The following is a 26,943-nucleotide window of genomic DNA, read 5'->3' as shown; positions in this document are numbered from 1 at the left end:
TCTCTCTCCTCTGGCCTGTGGATCTCCCTCTACAGCCTGGGGTTCTGCGCGCAGAGAAGGGAGGGAGAGAGTGAGTTCGCTCATCATGTGGGTTGAACAATTATGAGGTCTATGTGAGTGTGAGATGCTGACCTGCCCGGAAGACAGTTCCCCACTGCTCCCCCAAATCATGCACCCAATTAAGTCTATGACCTACCTTCCTTCCCAAATCATGCAACTTGCTCATGACCCAGTTTTTAAGCCAAAGCCAACAGGGTCAAGGCCCAGACCAGAAGCTCTGTCAAAATTCTTTCCCCCACATCTCCCATTGAGAGATGAATTATGAGGACTTTTTTCATTAAAAAAAAAAAAAGTGGAAATGACTGGCTCCGATATGGATGAGTTTCCACCAGCACACCAGCAGGTTGCTTTTCAACTCCACAGCTGGCAGCCTGAGTGAAGACTTGGCAGGGTGGGGTGGGTGGCATGGAGCTAGTGAGGTGGCAGGGAGGGGCTTAGATAAGACAATCTTGGGGCTAAGGATGGGCGTGCTGGCAAGCTCTGTGCACTCTCTTGTCCCACCAGCTGCTTCCTGAAAACAAACATATCAATGCTCCCAAATCAATGATCCATCAGGGCTGTTATACAACTAAGCTGGCTGAAAACTGAATTCAGTTAAATGAATTCTATTTTCTTTTGATTCTCATTAGAACGTTGAAGATCTATTTCCCCAAGGAAAGCATCCCCTAACACCTCAAGGTGTGGTCCTAGGACAAGCAGCATCAGCATCACCCGAGAGCTTGGTGCAAATACAGAACTTCCATCTGACCCCAGACTTTGTGAGTCAGAATCTGCATTTTAACAAGATCCCCAGATGTTTTGTAAGCATGTTAAAGTTTGAGAATCATTGTTCTAACACACTGGGTTGAAACCTGGAAAGAAAGGGGTTTTTAAAATTAATTTATTTATTTTTGAGACAGAGTCTTGCTCTGTGGCCCAGGCTGGAGTGCAGTGGCACCATCTCCACTCACTGCAACCTCCGCCTCCTGGGTTCAAGTGATCCTCCCACCTCAGCCTCCAGAGTAGCTGGGACTACAGGTGCACATCACCAAGCCTGGCTAATTTTTGTATTTTTAGTAGAGACGGTGTTTCACCATGTTGTCCAGGCTGGTCTCAAACACCTGATGTAAAGTGATGCGCCCACCTGGACCTCCCAAAGTGCTGGGATTACAGGTATGAGCCACCATGCCTGGCTGAAAGACAGGGTTTAAAATGATGGTTAAGCTTACTGTACACCGTCCTGAGAGTGCTTTTCCAGGACTTACAAAAGAGGAAAGTGGGTGCTATCACTCTGTTTTACAGATAAGGAAACTGAGACTCATAAAGGGCAAAACAGCATTCAGTTTCCAGATCCAAGACACAGACCTAATTCTAAACCAGAGTGCTTTCCATTACACTGTGCTGCCTCCTAAAGCTCCCACTGCACTGAACCCCAGAGAACAGAGCTCAAGGATTACCTACATCACTGGTCACCCTCCTTGGCCCAGTTAACAGTCTGATCTGTATTTGGCCTATTCTTTGTTCATCTCTCATTTCTATTGTCTGTTTTTTCAAGATCTGCCTTGGACTAAACTGTAAAAAGCAAGGACTGTGCAATATTAATAACAACTATAATTTATTGAGTACTTATTGTATTTCAGATACTGTTCCTTAATATAGGTCCTCTCATTCAATCCTCACAACAACCCTAGAAGATAGACGTAATCATTTGCATTTTATAGATGAGAAAACTGAGGCTCCAAGTAAGTGACTTGGTCATGATCACACAGAAGCAGCCCCTCTGAGAAAGAGGCTGACTCTGCCACAGGCCCCCTGGTGAGGAGGTCACTCTAGGTGCTTCCCAATTCCAGGAACCGGGTTGTGTTGAAAAAGGCCAGTCTTAAAACATGACCCTGGCATGAAACCAAAGGCAATGTGTGCAAACTAAATCCCTCAGGCACAGACTTTACAGGCTCCCCTCTCGATTTTCTGCATAAATGGAGAGTGGCAGCGGTGCAGATAATCCAGAAGTCATTTCAACTTGGCTTTGAAATGCATTAGATTTTTTTTTTTTTTCAAAGTCAGAGATTTTCCTTTCTAATTATATTTGGCTCAAACTGACATTAAAATGAGTTTGCATTCTCACTTCGCCCACTGCCTGGTGAAGGGAGACTTCCCAGATGTGTGCTGTGTGATAGGCACGTCAGTCTGGGATCCAACATCAACCACAATGTAGCTGCCCCGGGGGTGAATGCTGGAGGGTTCTGGCGCTGGCAGCACAGCCAGCCACGAGTGTGTGTGTGTGGGAGGGTCAGGCATCAAGGGGAGTGTGGGACCTCTGGGAGTCCCCCATCCCATCCCACAGTGTCAAGCTGGTAGATTTCCAGGGAGAGTGGGGAGTGGTGGGGAGGACTGAGACAAAGAGGAGCAAGTCAATTCCTCAAGGTTTTGGATTAAAACCCAGGAGTCCCACTGTCTCGATGAAATGTCCTTCTGGATGACTCAGGAGTAGAGATGAAAACTTCAACTTCTCTCAGAGGCTTCATTCTGCCAGCCTGCCTAGCCTTGGGTTTCTGCTCCTTTGAAATGCCTTCTCTCTCTACTATGTTCTCTCCTCCTCTGCCCTGCCTGCCCATCTCTGCTCCTTTCCTTTTAATAACCTCCCAGTTAAGCGAATCGAATGGGAAGAAGCAGTTAAAAGCAACTCATGGCTTGACAATGCTGGGTAATGGAGCGAGCAAGGCCCCGGGCTGTTCCTGGGAGAATTCAGGAAGGAGGAGGAAAAATAATAATAATAAAAAAAACTCAGCTAAGCTGATTACAAGGACAAAGTTAATTTAGAAATCAGCTCTGTTGGGTGGGAGTGGGGGGTGGAGAGTACGGAACTGGACACAAGAGGTTGGGAGATTCGATTTGGGGGAAGTGTGCTTTATATAAACTGCCTTTGTTCCTGGAAATCATAATCCTTGGGAGGGACCAGGGTTCACTCCTTCGGATTCCTCGGCTCCTTCCATCCGGAGCAGGGGGTACAATCGGGGATTGTCCAGAGCTTGGATATCTCGTGGCACCACATTCCAGAGGCCCCGCAGCCCCTGAGCCTCACATCTGTGGCCCCCTCCCTGCCCCTGCTCCCTGCTCCACTCCCCCTCACTGGACGGTTAGGCTTCAGCATTTTTCACATACCTCTCTCACAACCTTTATCTTATAAAATTGTCAATATGTGTTTATACATCCATCTCCCACACCATACTGAGAGTGCCTCAAGAACAGGGACTAAATCTTACCTACCTTTTCATTCCCAGGCCTAGGCCCAGCACAGCCATTTAAAAAAACAATGCTCATAAGTTGAACACATGCTCTCACCCCCCCTGGTGGGACCCTCTTCAAAGGACTCCATTTGAAAAACCAGAGCTCACTTCCTAGCAGAGGTTTTAAGAATCTTTAGGCTCAGCTCCTAAATGCACATGTATCTAAGGCCACAGACCAGTGGAAATGGCCCAGAATTGACCCTGAAGGGACTAAACCCGGATGGGCCCTCTGATGGAACCAGATGGCTCCCCTTGACTCTGGGCAGTGTAGACATGGCCCAAGCTTGGGGGGGACAGGTAACAAAGAGCCTGGCCTCAGAGTCAGGCTGCAGAGCTCTCCTCGCAGTTACTGCCGTTGAACTCTGCCTCCAGGCATCTTTATCTTATACTGAAGTATTCTCAGAGGAAAAGATTTCCTCATCCTTCCGAAGTCTCTCTGGCTCAAGTCACAGATCTGAGACTTCCCAAGGCAGAGCTGGTATTTCTCTAAGGTTTTCTGCTCACTTCTGCCTGGCCAAACCTTGGTTATCTGTTTTTTTCATGTTTTTAATTGGAGGGGTTATAAATTTCCATAGTGTCTCCAGTAGAAGAGGTGTTTAAGAGGAGGGGAGGCTTTGGTGAGAAGTGAGATGGGGATTATACCTGTTTTTAACACACCCTTTGTCTGCTTAAAAAACAGAAATCCATTGCTCCCCAGTTCTTACAGGGGAGTCTTTGCAAGAAGTCTTTGGCCTGGCTTTTCCAGGCCTCCTCTGGTCTGTCCCCATTCTGCCGTTCTGGATCATCTCATCTGTTTCTCCCAAACCAACCCAAATCCTCAGTCCAACTGGCCTCAGTGTCCGCCACACATCCCACCAGCAACATCTTGGTTCCGGAAGTCTGGCCCATCTGGTAAGGCTCTCCCTCTTCCTGCCACATCCATGTCCTGTCCATCCTTGGGCCCCACTTCCTCCACGGAGCCCTTCCTGGTCACTTCAGCCCACAGCAAAGTCCCTTCTCTGGACTCTCTAGCTCTGACCTGCACACTGCTATCACGGCACCAATGACTCCACACCTTGCACCACCAGCAGTCTTCATGTGTGTATATCTTAGTTTCTTAAAAGGGAAGGACCACCTGCTGTCATATTTTTTGGTCCACATAATGCCTACCAGTATGTTTTGCATATAATAATGTACAGTTGATGATTAAAAAAATAATTCTCCTGATTTGGTGAAAGAGAGAACTGAGGCCTACTGAGATTAAGTAATTTGCACTGAAATCACAAAGTGAGACCTTCAAGGGCAGAGATCTAGTACATTATTCACTTTGCAACACTGGAGCCCAGCACACAGTAAGCACACAATTCTCTTCCGCTGAATGAAGGAACAAAAGTCCTTCCTCTTTCCACACATCTTTCAGTGAAGATATATTCCTCAGACTGCCTCAGAAGGAAAGAAGGGGCAAAAAGAAAAGGCATCCAATGGCCTAGTCGATTCTGAAGCGGACCTAGGATGGGACAGCTTCCTGGGATAAACCTGCTGGGCACAGAGTACACCTCCAGACACTCGGGTTCCTGTTATCCCTTCCCTGCCTCAAAACCCAAGACCCACAGCATTCTGGGTGAGTCTCCCATCACCTTCCAGAGCCAGATTGCAAAAGGAATGAAGCGGCAGCATTCTCTCCTGGGAAACTAATGGAATTTGCTAGAGAGTTCTGGAGATTTCTACCCCTGGATTTAAGACCCTTAATCCTGAGGAGGTTGACTGGCTGCAAGGCTCATTTATTTCAATACGATGCCTATTTTGTTAAATGGGCTCAAGGAGGGCAGAGAGGGATGAGGACTGCAGCCCCTGGAGACAACAGAGGTTAATAAAAGTGGCTGAATAAATTAAATATGGAGGGAAGGACAAGCTGGGAGCTTGGAGTCAGCTGATAGAGGGAGAGTAAGTGGGATAGAAAGAAAAAACAAAAGTGTCATACTTCAGTGATGTCTGCGAGCTACAGCAGCTTTTATCCTGGATGCTCCAAGAACTTAATTAGGTTCGCATTGTCTGACAATCAGACGTAGGAAGGTATAAGAGCTGGAGCTACAGAATGGAGAGGGACCAGTGTTACAGAATGAGGAACCCCAAGCTTCTTTCTCAACTTTCATAACTTCACAGTTTGTGCATCTATCAGAGAGGATGCAGGGCATGCAAGGCAAGGCAAAAAGTAGTGCCTTTAAAGACACAGGAGGGCTGCTATGGCTGGAAGAAAAATGACTCACAAAAATGTACTACTGTTGCACACTAGTGCTCTGGTGACTGAAAAGGCTTGGGTAAAGATGAGAGATATCTGTCCAGATGTGTATGGGGATGGGGATAAGAAGTGGGTGCATGTATAGCTGCACTATGAAGGCATGTGTGAATACATATGCATATGCATATGCATGCAGTGAGATTGCATCCACACGCTTGCATGCAGCAGTAATGCAGAACAGGTAGGTGTGCAGTCTTCCTTCTAGGAATTATCCTCAGCCCCCACCCCATCTTTCCTGCTTGGGTTCTAGTTCTGGCTCTGTCACTTACTAGCTGGATCATCTTGGACAATCTGCTTAACTTCTTTGGATCCCTGTTTGTCCATCTGTAAAATGGGGATAACACCTAACTTCAACAATTATGTCAGTATTGAATTAGTTACTAATGCATGTAAAATACAAAATTGCCCTTCACAAAAGTGAACGGATTTCTCCCCCACTCTGAGAGAGCCCATTATTTTTCCTGATTTCTGAAATTGCCTCTTCCTCCTCCCTGGTTTCACATTTGAGGATCAAGGACATGACAGCCTCTTTCTCCTCTACTGCTGACAACCCACCCCCACACCCCCATCCTTTTCCAGGTCAAAGAACCCTCCAGGAGATTGCCAAGTAAACTGGTCCAGAGGCCCTGGGAAGAAACCAGACAGGAACTGGTAGGTCGGGAAGGGGCATAACTTTCTCATCTCTGGACATATGAAGAGAAATGTCTCTAGCCTCAGATGGAAACATCTCCCAGAAATTGGGGAGATTAAGGAATTTGTCCCCATCCCTTCCCTCCATACCAACTGCCACCCCTTTGCAATTTATTTAACTTCTCTAGGTCTCTGTTTTCTCATCTATTAAATGGAGAAACAACTCTCCTGCCTACACCATAGGATGAGTGTATCTCTCTATCAAATGGTACATGTGAAAAGTTGCTAAAATTGCCAAGCACCATACAGGTACAAAGATAAAAGACTCTAAACGTGGGAGGAAAAGGATTGAGGCTTTCCAAACCTCCTTCTGACAAGGGGCATTATTTACTGGTCCCAGCCCCACTGATTAAAACATGTATCCTGACATCTAAGTTTTGCTTCACAAATGATCATCAAAGCAAGGCAGGGAGATAGATGTGTCCTTGGAATTTCTGGGCTGAGAACTAGGGAAGGGGGCTGAGCTGAGTGAGGCACCAGGAGAGGAAAAAAGGCCTAGGCTTCCCTCCTGTCCTTCCACAGCTGCCTTAACTCTAAGAAAGGCAGGGTGTGGCTCTTCTAGGCAGGCTGAAGGGCACTCATGGCGCTTAGGAGGGAGACAAAAGAGGGGTTGAATCTGGGGTCTAACACCTCAGGTATGCCCTTCAGCAAGTTACTTAAACTCTCAACTGTGGTTTCTTCATCTATAAAATGGGAGTAACATTAACCTGAAAAGCACACTGTAGGAATTCAATAAAAGGTAATTTTGATGCTTTGGTATGGAGTTCACCTCCTACAATCACTTTTCACCACCCAAGGCCAGGCAGTTCCCCAGGGCACAGGCTAAGAAGGAGGGTTGAAAGCCTCCCCAGGCGGGTTAGAACAAGCCATCTAAGACCCTAGCCTCCAATCCTACCAGACTACCAGGGACCAGACAAATTTGGAAGCTGACACTTGGGGAGATCCTGGTCTCAGGATTATCCCCTAGACCCCTTCTCAGTGCTTCTTTTGCCTCTGTATGGCTCTGGGCCTCTCCAGGAGTCAGCCTTGCATGGAACAAGAATAATTCCCAAATTTGTAGTTCATGGACCTGTAACAAGGCTGTGTTTAATATTAGAAACAAACCTTTTTATTTGCCAAGTCCTTGAAAAAAGTCATTTACTAGATTTATCATATCATCAAAGAAAAACAATTTAACACCAAAAAATGTAGGACAGAATCTCAGAATAAAGGATTGTTTTTTAAATTTGAATGAGTTTACCTTTATGAAATACTCACTCCCTTTTCTTCCTAGTTCTCATTCTGCTATGGACCAGGAAAATCCCTGTCCCAGTCCAGCATCAGTCTCTGCTGGCATGTAGGATCTGGCAAAGGAGAAGGGTGCAGGCTGTGGGATCCACTGGTTCCTACAACTACCAATAAGATACTTAATGTATCTAAACCTCAGTTTCTTGGCCAGGTACAGTGGCTCACACCTATAATCCCGGCACTTTGGGAAGCCGAGATGTAAGAAGCGGTTGAGCCTTGGAGTTTGAGACTAGCTTGTGCAACCTAGCAAGACCCATCTCTCCAAAAGAAAAAAAAGAAAATTAGCCAGGTGTGTGTGGTCCTAGCTACTTAGGAGGCTGAGGTAGGAGAATGGCTTGAGCCTAGGAGGAGGTTGCAGTGAGCCATAATCACACCACTGCACCCTAGCCTGGGCAGCAGAGCAAGACCCTATCTAAAAAAATAAATAAATAAATCTCAGTTTCTCATCCATGAAATGGGGATAATTTACACAGCCAATCTCAGGGGGCTGTAGCATAGATTAAATTAGATAATGCATATGAAGTAGTTACACAGGGCTCAATAAATGATCCATATTATTTCCAGACTCTGAAATGCTGCCACCTCGGGGCTAGTGTCCCTCCTCATTTCACACAAGAGCTCTGGTTCCTTCTCACTCAAGTGCCAACCTCTTCCACTTTTGCTCTCTCTCCTCAAATCCCTTCCCCAGATCTTTTCTGAGGTCTCCAAGGAGGGGGTCAGTTTCCCCTTCTGGGTCTGCCACAACATAGTTCTTTCCATGAGAGATACAAAGAAGGCACTTACTGAAGCCCAGGACCAAGAATCTGGGGAGCTGGAGCTAGAAAACACACACACACACACACACACCCCACAAAGAATCATAGGGAGAAGAAAAGGAAGCGCAGACAACTTGACTGCCTGTCTATCTATGTCTCACCTCAAAGCCAAGATAGCAAGCATTTACTGAGCACTTCTCGCTGTGCCAGACACTGTTCCATGTACGTTACATGGATTAACATATTCAAGTGCCACCACAACCCTATGAGGTATTACTTCCATCCTCACTTCTGGAAGAGCATGCTGAGGCACAGGGAATGTACATGACTTGTTCAAGCTTACGACTACCAAATGGTGGAGGTGGGAGCTGGATGCGAGTCTGTGATTTAATCGCCATCGAATGCTGCCTCTTTCCAGCACTGCAGCGCGCTCATCAAATCAATCAATTGATCAGATATTTAAGGGGCACTTACCACCAGAAACTATAGGATAAAAGAAATTAAGACTTAGTCCTTGTAAGGGTGTAAAGAGGTCCTAGGGGGGCAGAGGTGGGGCTTCCTCCTCCCATCTCACTGGAGCGCCAAAGGCAGAGCCAGAACAACCAACCACTCAGCTGTGGGAAGGAGCAGAGGCGAGAAGGCCTGGATGCCTCCTCCTCCTCCTCCTGACCAGGTGCTCTGGGGCCCAGGGCTGAGGCACTGAGTACTTGGTTCACACCCTCCCTTTGGGTCTAAGTGAGTAGAAGGCAGAAAGTGGAGTTCAGTCAAGGTCAAAGAGAGGAACCCAGTGTCCTGGTTTCTGCCATGTCTCCCCTGACTCTTCCCCAACCTCAGCGCCCTGCTCTGGGCAGAAGTGGGACATCTAAAGTGTGTATATGTGTCTATGTGTAGCACCGAAAGGGGAGAGTCCAGTTACTCTCCAGACCTGCTGTTCTCTGCCAGGATTCAGCTGTACTCAGGGAGTTGAATCCTGGGAATTTAGGAGGCCCTCGGGCCTCCTCCCTTTACCCTTTACTCCCCTCAAAAGCTGTGGCAGGAATGCCAGGGGGAGCTCTGGGGGCTGGGTGGGCTTATTTTTCTCCTGCCCCCACATCCATCCCCCCCACGGAGGCAGCTCCCTCCCCGAGCCGGCCTGTCATCCCACATTGCTCTGATTAGCTATAATCTTTCTTTTTCAATTTCTCCTCCCCGAGACTAGGGAGCGAGAAAATCTCCCAGAAAATGAATAAATATTTCAATTTTCGGCGCAATCAGTCTGTGGAGCCGGCGCATGATGGAAACGGGGGGAAGGATAATGGTTTTCATTTAGATAAGATACAGAAAATTATTTAGTGAAAAATGAAGATTGATGAAGCCCATTGAAATTCTTTAAAATGCGATTTTTATTTCTCAGCCTAGGCTGAATCTCCCCTTCCCCTCTCCTCTCTGCTCCCCTCAATTCTATGGCTTCCTGCTGACACCTACTCCCCCATCCCTATTCCCCCACCATCATTCCTCCTCCCTTTTGTAGCGCCCCCCTCCGTTTCCTCTCTCACTGCCCCAGTCCCTGACCTAGAGCTCCTTTCTGAGGATGGAGGCTAAGGAAAGGGGGTCCTGCCAAGCTCTCCACCCCCATGTGTGTCCCAGTCTCCCCAGACCCCTACTCCTTCCCTCTCTGCCTCCTCCCCAGTCCCTTGCCAAGCTTCCCCCAACACTCACTAGTGATTTCCCCTCCCCTCCTGTCTAGTCTCTCCCTTTCTTTTCTCTGGTATCCTCTCCCCCAACCCCAGACACTTTCACCAGGTCCTGCTTTCACCCCTGTTGGAGCAGAGAAGTGGGAGCTCAGCATTCCCTAGCCACTCGCTCCTTTCCAAAGAGAGAAAGGCACACAACACACAATTCTTTCTGTCCCCAATTCAATCCACATGTCTCTCCTGTTTGCTAACTGCTGCTTTTGTTCCTTAACACTCATTTGTATCCATGATGCTGACATGTAAGGGCTGTAAGAAAGGGACAGACATAAGCTTGCCCCCAACATAGACCAATACTGACCCAGGGGCCTCCTCCACCACCAACATGACCCCCCTCCACCACCACCATGGCCCACCCCCTTCCTCCCCGACACCAACAGCCTGGCTGAACAAAGTCAGAACTTAAGTCATCTTCCCAACTTTCTGCCAAGTGGCTGGCCTGGCCTGCCAACCCCAGGGCCAGGCCTCCTCCTTTCCCCTAGCACCACCTCCCACTCCTGGCTCACACCACAGATGTGTGCCCTTCCCATATCATAGTGTGTGCTGGGGGGCTGGCATGGGTGCCCTGTGGGGAGAAATGAATCAAGACGTGCCCCCACCAACTCAGCCAGGCTTTGCCTTCGGAACTGGGAAGAGACCCGACAAGGAGAGGAAAGGTCCAGCATAACACACCACCTACAAACGCAGGAAGGGAACAGAAAGCAGGGCAATAATGCCTGAGGCTGTTCTACCCAGATCCATTCCCAGACACCCCCTAAAAGAGGACACCTCCTCCATCTGCAGTCTGTACATCTCCATAGGTGTCTGCCCATATGAATGTCTGTTCAAGTTTCTTTGTTTGCTAGAGGGTTGGTTTCTGTGAGAGCGTGTGTCCTGTCCTTGTAAACGCCTGCATACATGTACTGTGTATAGTTGTAACGTTCGGGTGGATGAATGCGTGAGTGTGTGCCGATCTGGGGGAGGAATCTGTCTTCCTCAGATGTCTCCGTGTCTTTGTGTATATGTGTCTGTCTCAGTGTGGGGGATGTTTGTGGGGATGTCTCTCTCTCAGTAGGTGAGTAGTCTGTCTCAGTGTCTGTGAGTGTTTTACGGTGTTTGTGTGTCAATTTCTGTGTGTCAGCTCCATTTTTGGGGAGGGAAGGAGTTCAGCAGGATTCAGTCTTCCTTAGAGTCAGACCTGGGAGGCAAGAACCAACTCCCACAGACCCCAGTCCCTGCTGCAGTCTGGACCCTTGGTTCCCTCAGCCCTCTTCCCTCCCCCAACCCCAGCCCTGCCCAGGATACACTGACATCCTCATCTCTCCCAACCACCTCCCTCACCTCCCAGCCTCTCCCCTGCCAGTGTCAAATAAGCCCCAGACAGCAACACTTTCCTGAGCCCAAGTAGAGTGTCAGCCCCCTCCCCCCACCGCCTCTGCCCCCGCCCCCGTGAGTTCCCCCCCTCTGTATCAAGCGGGCCTGAAGCTGTATGTGGAACTCCACTCTCCACCCAGAGCCTCCGTGGGCAGGGGTTCCAAATCCCCACTAGAGGCGCCGAGACACCCCTCCCTTCCTCTAGAGGGGGCAGCCCCAGGCAGGCTGGAGCCGTGATTCAGACTCAGACCCCCGAGGGGCTGGGCTGGAGTAGGGGGATCCCCTTGGCAACATCTTCGGGAGGTGGGACCCAGCTTTTCGCTCACCCCCTCGCCCGAAATCCGAAATCCCACCCTCTTCCCAGCCTTGCCCTTAGGCTGGACTCAGGCGTCCGGAACCCCGGCCTCAGAGGGCGAGGGTCGGTAGGGCTGCCAGAAGCTCAAGAGAAAGCGTTCGGTTCCCCGTTTTACTCGGACCTCCAGCCCTCGCGGCCCCATTGCTCGGTTCTCCCGCGCAGCCAGAGGAAACAACTTGGGCAAATCAACGGCAAACTCATTCTCCCCAGCCCCTCGTTACTCCGCGCCCCCTCCCCCAGGGCTCTGCGCCCGGACCGAGCCCCCGCCTCGTGGCGTCCGGACCCGGGGACTGGCCGCGGGCCGCGGGGCACTCCAGCACTCTCCCACCGGGGAAGCAGTGCCCCGGCCCCGGGGGGAAGCCGAGCGTCCGGGGGTGGGCTGGGGGCCCTTACCTTGGGAGAAAGTATCGGAGAGAGTGAGGATCCAGACGAGGAGGCTCAGCATGCTGTCCGCCCGCCGTGCGCCCGCCCGCGGCTGGGGCCCGGAGTTGGCGAGCGAGCCAGAGGAGCGGGCTGGGGAGGAGGGGAGCCCGGGAGCCCGGGAGCCCGCCCCCCGCCCGCCCGCGCCCGCCCCTGCACACACACACGCGCGCGCGCACACTCACGCGCACAAACTCATTTCCCTGCCCTCCGATTCTCTTTATCTCTCTTTCCTCCCAGACCTTTTTCTCCTCCTGGTCGCCCTCCCCCTTTAATTATTTCTCCTCTCAAGCTGTATCTCTCTGGGTCTCTTTCGGTCTTTGCTCCCCCTTTCTCTCCCCTTCTCTTCCTTCCCTCTCTCCCTCCCTGCCTCCCTGCCTGCCTGCCTCCCTCCCTCCGCCTGACGTCTACTCTCCCTCCGACGGCGCCTCCCTCCACGAGCCCTCCCCCTGCCCCCCCACAACGCGCGCACACACATACCCCCCTCGCTGGAACTGAGATGGAAGGAGAGCAAAGAGGGAAAGGAATTGAGGGCAAAGGCAAAAGGGGGTGAAAAATGTGACCGTCGTGGGTTCTGGGGCAGGCACGACGGGACCCCTGGCCACCCCACCCCCTCCTATTTATAGACGCAATCTTGGTCGCGGGCTATGGAACTAAGCAGTGGAGGAGGAACATGGGCTGAGGGACATCAGCCTCTAGCTCAGAGGATGTGATGGGGAGTGTGTGTGTGTGTGTGTGTGTGTGTGTGTTTCCGTGTGTGTGTCTAGGAGTGGGGTGGGGGGCAGGGAGTTAAATAAACATAAAGACCTTTCTTTTTAAATTCCACACCCAAAGTCTAGCCCCTAGATTCCCCAAATTAAGAATTCTCAATTGACTAATGAATGCTTGGATAAGGGAGGGGCATACATGCCTCTCCCCACCTATAAAACCCAGAACTGGAGAATGGGAGCTGCCTCTTGGACCTGCCTTGAGGCCCTGCCTTGGCTTCACCCAGTCAAGGTTGAGCACAGCTAGGCGTTGGAGGACTCAGCGGCCTGGAAGAGGCACAGTTGACCCTTCCTTTGTTCATCTTAGCCTTCCACCCATCCCGAAGGAGAAGGTAGCCAACTGGATGGCTTTGAAGGGCCAAGACCTGGCCTCACCTCCCTGAATGCAAGCCAGAGGAGAAGACAGCCACCAGTCAGATCTCTAAGCACGCTGGAGTTTGAGATCTTTTGGGGTAGGGACATGGAGGAACTAGGAAGGAAGGGAATTCCTGAGAATCATGAGAGCATTCAGGAGGGATCTCCACTTTCTTAAGGGCCCAGTTTGGCAACCAGCTCCTCTTCTCACCCCTGACCAGATACTTCTGCTCACAGGATTGCTCGGGTAGCCAGAGGTCTGGACCCTAGGGAATGGACAGAGAAGTTGCTGGAATTGCACAATTTTACAGTAATGTGTTGGTCCAAAGAGGTCTCCACTTCTTTCCTCCCAGATCCCAGATCTCCTGGGTCTCTAACACTCCCCGCCAAGTTTTCTCAATTTCTGCCCCTGAAAGTAGGTGCGTGGCTCTCTGGTGCCCTCTGTTGATGTGTAGCGGCCACAGCTCCTCTTTCCTCCGCAGATACTAACACCAGCCTGTGGTCCAGACGCATCCACACACAATTAGAAGACAGAGAAAGGCAGGAAAACACCCAAGCTCATATGCAGAAGCCCCATATGCACAGACCCAGAGAATTCTTCATATATTCCAAAACACAGGCAAGCACAGCTTAAGAATAGAGCCATACTTTGGCCAGAGAAATAGGACTGCAATCCCAAACGTACACAGAAAGACACCAACACACAGACACATAAGGCTTTTCATTTGTTCATTCATTAATCATACATTCCACAGATATTTTTTCAGCTCCAGACTGCTATTTTCCAGTCACCATTCTAGGCTTTGGGGAGACAATAATAATAAAAAAAAAAGGACAAAGTCTTTCCCTTTAATGTTCCATTCTGGAGGAAAGTCAGAGGCAGTAGAAAAAAATATGAAATATACTAGGTTATGGTAAATGCTATGGGGGACAAATAAAGCAGGATAAAAGATTAGGGAGAGGGAGAGAGGGAGGAATTACTGTTCTTACAGGTAATCAAAGAAAGCTGTTCTGCTACAGCCACATTTGGGCACAGACCTGAAGGAACTGAGGGTTTAGCTGCTCAGGCGTCTGAGGGAAGAATGCAGCAGGAAGATGGTAGCAGCAAAGGCAAAAACCCTGAGGTAGGGAGCTCCGGACATGTCAGCGAGACAGCCTTTTCTCCTTTCCACTCCACATGATGGTGTATGGAGGGGAAGGCGAGGGTGACCCTGACTTAGGAAAGTATTATTTTTGGTGTGTGTGTGTTTTCTTTTCTTTTCTTTTCTTTCTTTTTTTTTTTTGAAGGAGTTGCACTCTGTCACCCAGGCTGGAGTGTAGTGGCATGATCTTGGCTCACTGCAACCTCCATCTCCTGGGTTCAAGCGATTCTCCTGCCTCAGCCTCTTGAGTAGCTGGGATTACAGGCACCCGCCACCATGCCCAGCTAATTTCTGTATTTTTAGTAGAGATGGGGTTTCACCATGTTGGCCAGGCTGGTCTTGAACTGCTGACCTCAAGTGATTTGCCTGCCTCGGCCTCCCAAAGTACTGGGGTTACAGGTGTGAGCCACCACACTCGGCCTAGGAGAGCATTAATTTAAAAAAAAAGGTCTTTAATCGAAGGAAGGGAATATTCTTAGCTCAGTGTTTCCTGCCTAATCTCCATGTCTGATATCAGGCTTGATAGCTATTCTTTTTATGAGAAGGGACTGGGTTATCAGACCTTTTGGATTTTTGTGGGCCTTTTATTTTGCCTCAAAAGCCTAGAAACAGAGGAACCAAGTTTCTCTAGCTCACTAACAGCGAAAACAACAATCTGGCCTGTCTCCTCTGGTCCTTTAGCTTTTCTTTTCCCTCCCCCTTTCCTTTAATTCCAAATCTTCACCAGCTCAGTTCATAGCAAACTCATGTCTCTAGAATTTCTTCCACATAAGTCATCCAGCATCCCAGATCTCAGAGCTTAAGACACCATAGACCTCATCCCCAGCCAGTGGTCCTCAACACCAGTTGTGCATAGCACCTCCTGAGGGCCTTTAATTTTATTATTATTATTTTTTAATTTTTTGAGATGGAGTTTAGATCTGTCACCTGGGCTGGAGTGCCGTGGCATGATCTCAGCTCACTGTAACCTCCGCCTCCCGGGTTCAAGTGATTCTCCTGCCACAGCCTCCCAAGTAGCTGGGATTACAGGTGTGTGCCACCATGCCTGGGTAGTTTTTGTATTTTTAGTAGAGACAGCATTTCGCCATGTTGGCCAAGCTGGTCTCGAACTCCTGATCTCAGGTGATCCACCCGCCTCAGCCTCCCAAAGTGCTGTGGTTACAGGCATGAGCCACCATGCCCTGCCCTGAGGGCTGTTTAAAAACACCAGTGCCATGCCCTCATCCCTAAAGATTAATTGTTCTGGGGTGAAGTTCAAGCATCAGTATTTTTAGACATAGCTCCAGGTGATTCTAGTAGACAGCCAAGGTAGAGAGCTGCTAAACTAAGCAAACCCCTGCTTTCCAGACATTGTCTTCAGCAAGTCTGCACACCACACAAGTGTCCTGCCCTCTTATCTCCACTAGCATTTCTTCTGCTTATTGCCAATCTTGTATCACCCTCCCCTCCTGGGGCAACCCCAATTAAGCTGCCCTAACTTTGCTCCATCCTCGTCTCTTTAACACTAAGGCTCACAATTTTGTCTAGTCGAATTAACTGAGTCTCTTAGAATCTAATAACATAACTCATCAAACTGTAGACATCCTGGGGCTGAGTCCCTAGTATTAGTCAGATGATCCAAAGATAAAGCTTGTGTCTTTTCCATCAGACTGGACATATCTTCCTAGGACAGGATATCTGCCTCCCCTATCAAACTTGGGGATTCTTGAGGGGCAAGGAATATGCATGTCACACCATTCTGGAGCTCCCTGAGGGTAGAGCGAAAGCTGGGTAAGTCCCTCCCTATCAGAGAGGTACCTTGCAGAGTAGTTGACAGCAAAGCACATGGGCCCTGAAACCAGACAGGGATTCAAATCTAGGTTCTTTCCCTTCCTTTCTGTGTGACCTTGGACATTTTATGTAGCTAACCTCTCTAGTTCTTGTTTTTTTCATATGAAAACAGGGATAATAATAGTAGTTACATTATGGGGTAGTTGTGAGGATTGAGTTCATATCCATACAGCCCTTAGAACAATACTAGGCATGCAGCATATGCTCAGTAAATGTTAGCTGTGATTATTTTTCAGTTTTAGAGCTTCCCCAAACAGAGATCTTTTGAATCTTCCTCCTGTAGATTTGTCTTCATCCTCATGCACAGAGCCCTGCCCCAACAGAAGCAGGCAGGCGCGAAGGCGGAGGAAGTAATCCCTAAGGATGCTACTTCACCTAGAATAAAGGAGAGAAACAGCCAAAGGTTATATATGGAGTTAAGAGAAATATTAATAATTTTTTTTAGCACAAAAGCAAAAAGATCAAGAGGTCAGGGAGTGAGCAGGAAGGCAATTTATGACCATAAGCAGGAGAAGCCACCTTGAGAGACAGAAATGAATTCTTTGTCTCAATGAGGGCTAAGAACAGCAGAACAATTCTATAAATTGTCCTTTTCCCCCCTAGAGAGGTGGAGTATTGTGTCCCTGCTGCTTACCAGAGACAGAGGAGAGAAAGGGTGAGATCCTTATTCTCAGCTTGGAAAATAATCCTGACCTTAAAGGAAACCTTGAGTCCCCAAGGGCAAGGGATCACCAGAGGTCACCTTGTCTCTTCCCCTGCTGCAGACTATAGCCCAGAGCAGTGAGAGTGAGAGATGTACCCCTTCTTCCAAAGTCCTCCCAGCAAAGGGGGCTCTTCATCCCTTCTCCACTTTTGTATCTCACAGCCCAGGTACTGCATAAGTCCTTCCAGATATTCAGCCTTGAGATTTCCTGCTATTATACCAGTTTATTTCTCTTCTGCTCCTTTTCCTTAAGTTGCCCAGCTTTTGAGATGTACAAGAAAAAGGGCAGGGGCAGGGGACCGCCATATGGCAGTGGAAAAAGTCTTTAATCTGCAATCTGAGGGGAGAGTGGGGCAAGAGGAAAGACAGCATCAGTCTAAGTACCCCAGACCTCTCCTTAGTGGCCAGGGGGCCTTGAGCCTGGGTCCAGCTAGGCTGGCCTCTCTGTAAAGAGTATCTGGCCCTGTAAAAAAAGTGAAGAAGAATTCTGGGCCTGGGGACTGGCGTTTCCTCATCTCAGTTTTGCCACCTATGCTTGATATCTTGCCAAGGAACAGGGGTCTCAGCAGTTGAAATGATAGTTGTTCACCCTCTCTGACATCTGTGCAGAGCAAAGAAGATATTCCAAGGAAGCCCAGATCCCTGATACATTAAGACATGAGGATGCCAGTAAGACACGCAACAGAAACTAGGTACCCTGGACAGCAGTGGGGTTAAGTGGCCATCTTAGGCCTCCTACAGAAGGGGAAGATGGTAGACGAAGGAGGTCAGGCTCCATGGATGGGGCATGGGTGTCAGAGGACACTTAGGAAGCAGTGCTGCTATTGAAGGAGAAAGACCAGAGGCTAGCCACCATAAAGGACTGTCTACTGAGAAGTATCCAAAATATTTAGGGAGAAATGTTTTGGGTGGGTTGAAGTTGCTCAGAGGCAGGGGCTTAGAAAGAATGACCTTGGCAAAGACGGGTTCCCGGTGTATATATCCACCGTGTGCCAGCATTGCCTGCGAATGACTGGGATCCATTCCACACCACCCATTTTCAGCCCTTCCCCTTCCATTGCTTCATATTCCAGCTCCAATAGGGCAGGGGAAGTGTCGGGGGGAGGGCAATTTGTACTAAATGAACCAGTTATCTCTTATTAGGCTTAATGGATGTCTCATTGCCTGAGTCACGGGGATTGGAAGATCCCTGCTTCCAATGAGTAGCCTGGTTCAGGAGACCTGTTCAGAAAAAAGAAGAGTGTTAGCATTCAGCAACTCTGCGCAGAGGCGTTGAGATGGGGAGTGGGTACGTGTGTGGGGGGGAGGGCAGTGGGAAATAGACTTTTTGGAAAAAATGGAGACAGTAATAATGAATTAATAACTCAAATGGGAAGCTGCACAACTGGAGACAGCATGAAGTTCATTTCCCTTAGAGTGGCAAAATGGTCTGTCAAAGGTCGCAAGGGAAGGCACAGTAGACCTGGGACTAGAACCCAGGCCTCTCAGGCCAGGATTCACCTATGTATCTCACTAACTCCATCTTTCCCACCCTTGCACCCCAGTCTCATTCCAAATGCTTTTATCAGCAAAGACACTCCTGATACCTAAACGGCTCTGACCATTATGTGGCTGTAGTCTTCTGTAAGGGGTCTGGAAATCAGAGAATAAAGTGAGCAGGAAGCAAGGGATACTGAGGAAAAGGGAGAAGTCTCTCATCTTCCTTTGGCTCTTGGTTTTAGTTTTCTTGGATTCTGTCCCCAAGCCCAGAGTTTCTTGGCCTTTAACATTCCCCAGTGCTTCCTTGAACACCTAAAACCACCCATTCATTAGATTCATTTAGTATCAGAACTGGTTTAGAGGGTTATGGTTTATGTTTTCATCCAAGCTAGAGATGAGATTGAGTTTGCAGCTAGGATTATGGCCTGAAGTTCTATTAAGGACACTGAACATCATGGCAGTTGAAGAGTGAAATTAAATAAGGTTCATATGAGCGGAAATATAAGGGCTAAGTTTACTTAACCTTAACTATAAGAGAGCCCGTTAACTTAAAGCACAACTCTTAACAATGTCACTCCAACCGTTATAACCCCCAGTAGAGATTTGCTAAGGGTTTTGGTTGAGATTAATTAAGTAATTAGACCATTCACCCAATTCATTCGTCTATTCATCCCACAAACATGTATTAAAAGCTCACTCTCTGCCAGGCACTGGGTGAAGCACGTGGGATATAAAGAAGAATGAAGCACACCCCCTTGTTTTCCAAAAGCTCATTGTCTAGTGGTAAATACAGACAGATAATTACAACAGAGGTGGGAAGTGCATATAGAAAAATGCTTTTTTTTTTAGTGCAAAACAGAAGTTACTCAACTCAGCTTGCAGGCATCAAGAAAAGTTTCCTAGAAATGGAGATTCAGGATCTTTAGAGTCTGAGTGTGGCTTTAGATTAGATAGCTCCCCTCTCTGGCCTCAATTTCCTGCTAACTCTGATGCCCCCATGGTACTGTAATATTCTTTGTCTCTAATATTGAGTTATGAGATATTCCCTGGGGATGCCTTTTAGTGGGTTCCATCAGGGCCCATAGGGTATTCTGTAAATTCTCTGTGTTTGAGAACTACTTCTGGAAACTTTGGCTCATTTCCTCTCAAGGAACCAGAGCCAAGATTCTTCCCCAGGTCCAGAGTTGGGGACCAATTTTCTGACTCCCACTCCTTTCACCTGACTTGGTGCCTTCCTACCTGTGACAGCCAAGCTCCAGGACAATGGAACTCCTCTCTACTTCCACTGGCTTTCTGGCTTCTGTGCCAGGGAACAGGCCTCGTGGTACCTGCCAGGCAGGGTCTGGCTGCTGGCTCAGGTGGCATTTCCTAAATGGACAGATGGAGAATGTTGGTTTACTATCTCTCCAGTGCTTCTGTTCCAGCTTCCAAGATACAGCCAGCAAACAGGTCCTGGTACCAAGTCACCTCTTGCAGGCATTGGCAGTTTCCCCTTTTCTACTAGCCCTTAGCCATGAGCCTCAATGCTTCCCCCATCCATAGGTCCTCCTCATGCAAAGCCCTAGTCTAGGCTTTGGGAATAGATCCAGAGGAAAGCAAATTCAGAGGAAAATGTTGTCCCCCAAGTAAAAAACAAAATGAAGCAACAACCAACCCTGGCTACTCCTTCAGCAGTCCTCTTTCAAGAATGGCACCAACCTCCATCCTATTGTTCAGACCAGACATCTGCGAGTACATACTTTCTCCATCCCCATTCACATTCAAACAGTCTCCAAATCCTGTGGATTGGCTTTCTCAGGTAGTGGCCTAATTTGCATCCATCTTCATTGTCACCAGCCTGCTCCATGTGTATTATCTCCTGCCTCAACACCAGCAAGGCCTTTCTGCATGAGCCCAAGCCTAATAATTTTTCTCCAGCTCAAATTTGACCACATTACTCTCCTGCTTAAAACTGATTGGGGCTCTCATTGCCCTTAGGATCAGATACAGCACCTTCCCGTTGGTTCCTAGAGCCTGCCTGGGGTACGTTGGCCTTCCCTCCCAACCCCACTGCTCTCCACTCCCCTTCTTATCCTTTACACTCCAACTCCACCTGGCTTCTCTAAGTTCTAGGGACTGGCCATATTTCTCTCATTGTTTGGGGTCTCGGCACATGGGGTTCTCTTGCCTGCAATGTTCTTTCCGCCCAGGGTCTATCCCAACCTCGCCCCTTAAGCTAAGTCCTACTCATCCCTCAGACCTCACACTAAATGTCACTTCTCCATGGAAGCCTCTCTAATTCCTCCAGACAAGCTAGATCACCTTGTTATTGCCTTCAAGCACCTTCTATTTCCACTAGTAACATTCATCTCCCTTCTAATTAAGTATTCAATGTCTGTTTTCCATGCTTGATCATAAGCCCTGTGCAGGTAGAGCCTGTACTGGTGTTGTTCACTGTTGTTACCAGAGTGCCTGGCAAAAAGGGAGATATTTCTGATTCTGAGTTCCACAAAGGATTTACTGGAGTAGAGAGGAGGCTGAGCTCCATTTCAGAGTACAAAGCCAGGGGGCTAGCAATTGAACTGCAAGAGGATATTCCCAACTAAGCAGGCACTTGGTAAGTCCAGGAAATCATCCTTCCAAGGAGCTGGGAGAAGATGAGCAGAAGTGGCATAAAAGTTTATCTTCTGTTGTTCAGGATGAGTGTGTGGGGGCGAGACACATATTACCTCGAATGTGCCAAGAAAAAAAATCCCAGGGAACAGTGAACAAAGCTATAAATACAGCCGAGCGTCGGGTGACATCACCTGAGCACAGTGCAGCGATTTATGGCCAACTCACACAGCCCTAAAGTGTATTTATAACGGTGTAACTCACTAGTACTTCTCCCTGCCTGCCCTCCCTCATTTCCCTGTTCAGTGGTGGCCACATTCCTTGTTCTTCTGATGAAACAGGATGGCTGGGCCAGGCACCTGCTCTGGGGATACTTGGCTACTCTGAAAAGCGGAGCCATTCCTCCAAAATATGTATTCAACAACGTGCAATGGTTCTTTGCTTTTTGGAGAATTCTGAACGTTTAAGCTGCGCATTCAAGACACGCAAACCCTCTGGCCTTAACTTACCTTCTAGCTTCATGGACAGCTTTGTTACCTTCCAGCTTTATTCACGTATGTCACATGGATCCTAATCTCCAACGTATTAGTTCTTCTCTGAAGTCTTCAGGTTTTTACTCCCTTACTTCTTTGTTCATGCTTTCCCCTTTACGTGATGTATTTTTCTACCATAATCTCTGGTCAAAACTCCTCCTTCAAGTCCCAACCCAGACACGACATTCTCCCTGAGCTGCCTGATGTGAGGGCATGACTTTTAGTTCTCTCTTTCCAAAGCCACTGACTCTCCACTCCTGGAGGCCACCTGTTTACTATTACAGTCATGTATTTACATAGCTTGTTTCCTCCTTAAACTTTGAAAGCCTTCCCCACACATCTTAGTTCCTCCCTAAGGGTTTGCTCAGGACCTGTCACAGGGAGGAAGCTCAGGGCACATTTTTTCAACCAAATATCTGTCCCTCCTGCCAACCCAGTCCTCCTTGAGCATCTCCAACATGTCTGACACTATGCTGAACATGCTATGGGCATTAGTTTCAATCTTCACAATGACAAGATAGGCATTATCATTCCCACTTCTGTATAGGGGAATTGTGGCAGAGAGAGGTTAAGCAGCTTGCCCAAAGGCACACAGTATGTGAATGTGACCACAGGATGCTCACCCAGTGTGTCAAACTCCATCATGTTTCTTCTATTCCTGGAGACCTTGGGCTGTGTGTTCCACAGCCTAATTTCTATCCAATATCCCAGGGTTTGTATTCTCTTCTCAAAGACACTGCACACAGCCAGCTGAGAGCCTGCCTCTTCACAGAGAGTTCCAATGCGGCTCGCTCAGGCACTGGGGTTATCAAAGTGGAGTTTTTGAAGAAACTTTTCAGAGAATGACTGCTATGAAAAAGGCAGCCCAGGCCCTGTCTGTATTCTGGGGGCCTTCACCTCCCTTGCTTCATTTACATAGGGAAAAGAAAGCTCAGAGTCAGCTCAGAGAGAGATAAACACTCACCTGCCAGCCGCTCGCTGCTCACAACAAGGGCTCTCCTCTTCAGTCTCCACTCCTCTGACCCTGGATTTTCTTAGATGATTTTACCCCTACCTCTGTTTAGAGTCTAAATGGAGAGAGAAGCAAGGTGGACTGAGATTCTCCTTCTCACAAACACATCACCAAGTGCTCAGCTCATGGAAAGTGTGGCCTGGAAATCACCCAAGGTGGATGGGGTAGGTGTAGGGAGAGTTCAGCTAGGCTGGTCCCTGAGTCAGGATCTCTTAAGCTGAGGTTGGGCAGTGTGGACAGAGGGCAGCGGGGGAAGCAAGCCAAAGGAAGTTAGAAAAATTATGTCTCTCCAATTCAGCCTGAACTAAGTCACCAACACGCAGCTTAAAGCACTCAATAAAATCCAAAATACTTACCAAGCAAAGTGATTTTGTTGAGAAATTGCTATTAATACTATTAATAATTATTTTCTATTATTGCTCATAATTGAAAAGTGACTAAAAATAATGCTGTATGCTAGATGGGTTCTCTTTCACTCTATCTCCTCACATAGGCCACTTGTAATCCCATATTTGGCTGTAGGACGCAGCACATCCACTTTACACACAAAATGTGAAGTAAAGAAAGTTTGCCTTTGGTGATACGGTCTCTCTTTCTTGATACTTTATTCTACAACCGTGAGAATTCTCCTACAGTTCTAAACATCTCCTGGTGAATGCATTCATACTAAAATGTGAGGAACTCCCTATCCTGCCTCCCCTCATACCCCCTACCAAAGCGTATTTTATAAGAGAGCTAGCATTGGCACAATGCTGTAACCAAGGGAATACATTTCTGACAGTGTAATTATAGACACCCTTATACTTGATAAGGAGGCATTTTGGAGGTGTACTAGAGAGACCTCTACAGCCCTTGAAATTATGGAGTCTACAACCGGAGGCAGACTTATCATAAAGTTAATGAAGCTCACTCATTCAGGGCCCTCCTAAGGCCCTGGGAGGCACCCTGCTAGTATGTTCACGTGGTTCTGCATAAAAGATGCAAGAGTAAGATATTGTAACTACAGTTCATTAAGTCTGATGTCTCTTTCCATTATAATTTTCTCTCTGCCCCCCCTCCCCTCATATTAGGTGGGGAAGGAACCATGGGTGTTTTGGGGGTCTGCCTAAGTGGAAATTGAGTTGAAAATACATTTAGGTTTTTTTTCTTCCTTCCTTCCTTCCTTCCTTCCTTCCTTCCTTCCTTCCTTCCTTCCTTCCTTCCTTCCTTCCTTCCTCCCTCTCTCTCTCTCTCTTTCTTTCTTTCTTTCTTTCTTTGACAGAGTTTTGCTCTTGTTGCCCAGGCTGGAGTGCAATGGTGCGATCTCGGCTCACTGCAACCTCCACTTGCCAGGTTCAAGCAATTCTCCTGTAGCTGGGATTCTCCAAGCAATTCTCCAAGTAGCTGGGATTACAGGAGTGTGCCACCATACCTGGCTAATTTTTGTATTTTTAGTAGAGACGGGGTTTCACCATGTTGGCCAAGCTGGTCTTGAATTCCTGACCTCAAGTGATCCACCCATCTCGGTCTCCCAAAATGCTGGCTTGAGCCACTTCGCCCAGCCTACATTTAGGTTTGATTAAAGGGGTATGTGATGTGGCCCATGATCACCTGCATGTATAGTTGTTGCTAACTTCTGGTATAGGAATGGCTTCCAGGAATATTCCTACAGCCATTGAGCTGACTGATTCAGGTATCATCATGACATAAAGATTCAGAACCTGAGGGTCATGGTAGCAAGAACATGTCCTCTAGTGCCTGGACCTGGAAGTAGTATTTGAACTGTATGAAGCCAGAAGCCAGTCCATGGAAAATTCTCCTAATCACTAGTCATGTAACATTGCAAGCAGTGGATTGGGTTCTCACTGGTGCTTTATCAAAATGGAAGTTTTTCCCCTCAGGAATATGTTTAATAAGGTGGGATATACAATTATAAACATACCATACAAAAATGTTCCCCATTGATTTTTATATAAAATTGTTAGATAGAAATTATTCTGACATTAAGAAGTGAATTGTAACATAAAACTCAGATTATCCTCAAAGAGATACTGCAGTAAGAGGAAGAGATAGATTTCTAATAAGATCTTGGATTGTTTAATAATTCAATTAATGAAGAAGAGTAATTCATAGGAATACACTGCAAAAAGTTCTAAATTTCTTGGTGGGTTGATAAAAATAACATTCATAAACTTCATAATAGACCACTACATCTAGGACAAACTGACTGACTATTATCCTTTATAACAAGTATTTAAGATTAGTTACTACAAAAGAAAGACTGAACTGTCCTGAAATCTTACAGCTCTATTATGAAAAAAAATTTGCATAGCTTTCTTTTTCAAATCTGACAATCCTAATTTCTTTTTTTCTTAATAGAAACAGAGTCTTGCTATTGTCCAGGATAGAGCGCAGCGGCACAATCACAGTTCACTGCAGCCTTAAACTACTGGGCTCAAGTGATCCTCCCGCCTCAGCCTCCCAAAATTCTGGGATTGCAGGTGTGAGCCACCATTCCTGGCCTACCCTAAAATTATATGTGGTATTACCAAGAGCAATTTTTATTTATTTGTTTATTTATTTTTCTCTAAATGGAGTCTTGCTCTGTCGCCCAGGCTGGAGTGCAGTGGCATGATCTTGGCTCATGGCAACCTCTGCTTCCTGGGTTCAAGTGATACTCCTGCCTCAGACTCCCCAGTAGCTGGGATTACAGGTGTGTGTCATCACACCTGGCTAATTTTTTTTGTATTTTTAGTAGAGATGGGGTTCACCATGTTCGCCAAGTTGGACTTGAACTCCTGACGTCATGATCTGCCCGCCTTGGCCTCCCAAAGTGCTGGGATTACAGGTGTGAGCCACCGCGCCCGGCCTCACAAAATTTTAACGTTGAAACACATTTTTACATACTATCAATAATAATAATAATAAAAATTTTCATCAAACATGCTAGAGGAAAACTAAATTATCTTTCTGCTCTCTCTATAAAAAAATGACAAAATCATTATGAAGAATCCATCAAAGAGCATGCTGCCAGAAAAAGTAAAAAAATACTATGTAAATGTGCTAGGCAGTTAATTAATATAAATTACTATGTTATTTTTCTGGATTCTAAATGATTTTTGATTTGCCAACTCTTTAATTTGCAACTTGTTATGATTCCTCTTCGCATTTTAAAAATAAATTTTCAAGTATGTATCTAATTTTGCATTTATACTTTTATCTTTTTTTCCTTTATGGGAGACCCTCCCTCCAACCAGTGTAAGTTTCAGGCCCCATAAAATTGGATTCAACTTTGTCCACAGCATTGGGTTTTTTTGTTTGTTTTTTTCTTTTTTTTTTTTTGATGGAGTCTCACTCTGTCGCCCAGGCTGGAGTGCAATCTCGGCTCACTGCAACCTCTGCCTCCCAAGTTCAAGCGATTCTCCTGCCTCAGCCTCTCGAGTAGCTGGGATTACAGGTGCGTGCCACCACGCCCAGCTAATTTTTTGTGTTTTTAGTAGAGATGGGATTTCATCGTGTTAGCCAGGATGGTCTCAATCTCCTGACCTCGTGATCTGCCCGCCTCGGCCTCCCAGAGTGCTGGGATTACAGGCTTGAGCCACCGCGCCCGGCCAGCATTGGTATTTTATTAAGGTAGTGTTGAATAATAATAATAATAATAACTACAATAACAACAATGGTTTCACCTTTCCTGACAGTTTGCTATGCATCAGCACTGTCCCAAGGCTTTACATGAGTTCTCTCATTTACTCCTCTATGACTATGTTGTCTCCATTTTACATGTGAAGGAACTGAAGTCCCAGAAATGCTAGGTAACTTGCCCACGGTTATTCAGCTGGGAGGCTGCAAAGCTTGTTTCCTCTATCTGTCTCCCTCATCTTCCCTGACTCCAGAAGGAAGAGCAATGTCCCACTTACTAGGCATGTCTTACAGAGGGTGCAGCAAAGGCTCAGAGGTGTTGAGTGACTTGCTGGGCGATGCACAGCGGGCAAATGGCAGAGTTAGACCTCCAGGCCGCAGGGCTTTCCCTCCCACACCAGCAAACACCGGCCTCGGCCCAGGCCCTATCGCAGTCGCTCCCTGCCGGCGGACTGAGGCCCTGTGTGGAGCGGATGCTCGGCAGGTGTGACCCAACGGCAGCCTGGGGCGGCGGAAGGGGACAGGGAAGCAGGCTGGAGTCTCGCGGAGGAGATGCCTTCAGAACTCCGGCGTCTCCAGGGGCAGCGGCAGGGACTCAGTCTCCCATTTCATTAACTGGAAAATAAACTAGAGCCACAAAGGGCCGAGGGAAGCAGAGCGCCCGGGCCCAGCTGCCGCGGGGTCGAGGGGCGAGGCGCCGGGTGGCGAAAGCAGGGGAG

At 47.7% G+C, this 26,943-nt stretch overlaps 1 protein-coding gene and 1 long non-coding RNA gene across 5 annotated transcripts in view; both read right to left on the bottom strand.

Moving 5' to 3' along the window:
• Nucleotides 1–12,251, bottom strand: part of KIRREL1 (kirre like nephrin family adhesion molecule 1) — a 106,618-nt gene extending 94,367 nt beyond the window's left edge. For all 4 annotated transcript variants that reach the window (XM_047424310.1, XM_005245305.6, NM_018240.7 and 1 more), the window contains exon 1: nt 12,168–12,251. Coding sequence is in view for 3 of the 4 variants with exons in the window: in XM_005245305.6 (XP_005245362.1) it covers nt 12,168–12,219 (52 nt within the window). In the remaining variant the exon portion in view is untranslated. The remainder of the gene's footprint in view (nt 1–12,167) is intronic.
• A 7,461-nt stretch (nt 12,252–19,712) lies between these two features.
• LOC105371459 (uncharacterized) lies at nt 19,713–26,590 on the bottom strand. Its single transcript, XR_922186.2, has 3 exons — nt 26,503–26,590; nt 22,559–22,661; nt 19,713–19,837 (listed from the first exon to the last, which is right to left on the bottom strand). It is a non-coding gene; the product is annotated as an uncharacterized LOC105371459 (long non-coding RNA).
• Nucleotides 26,591–26,943: the final 353 nt, after the last annotated feature.

This window comes from Homo sapiens, chromosome 1 (genome assembly GCF_000001405.40).
Source record: "Homo sapiens chromosome 1, GRCh38.p14 Primary Assembly".
Taxonomy (NCBI): domain Eukaryota; kingdom Metazoa; phylum Chordata; class Mammalia; order Primates; family Hominidae; genus Homo; species Homo sapiens.
Note: the sequence above shows the minus strand (reverse complement) of the source record. Positions and strands in the feature narration are given on the sequence as shown.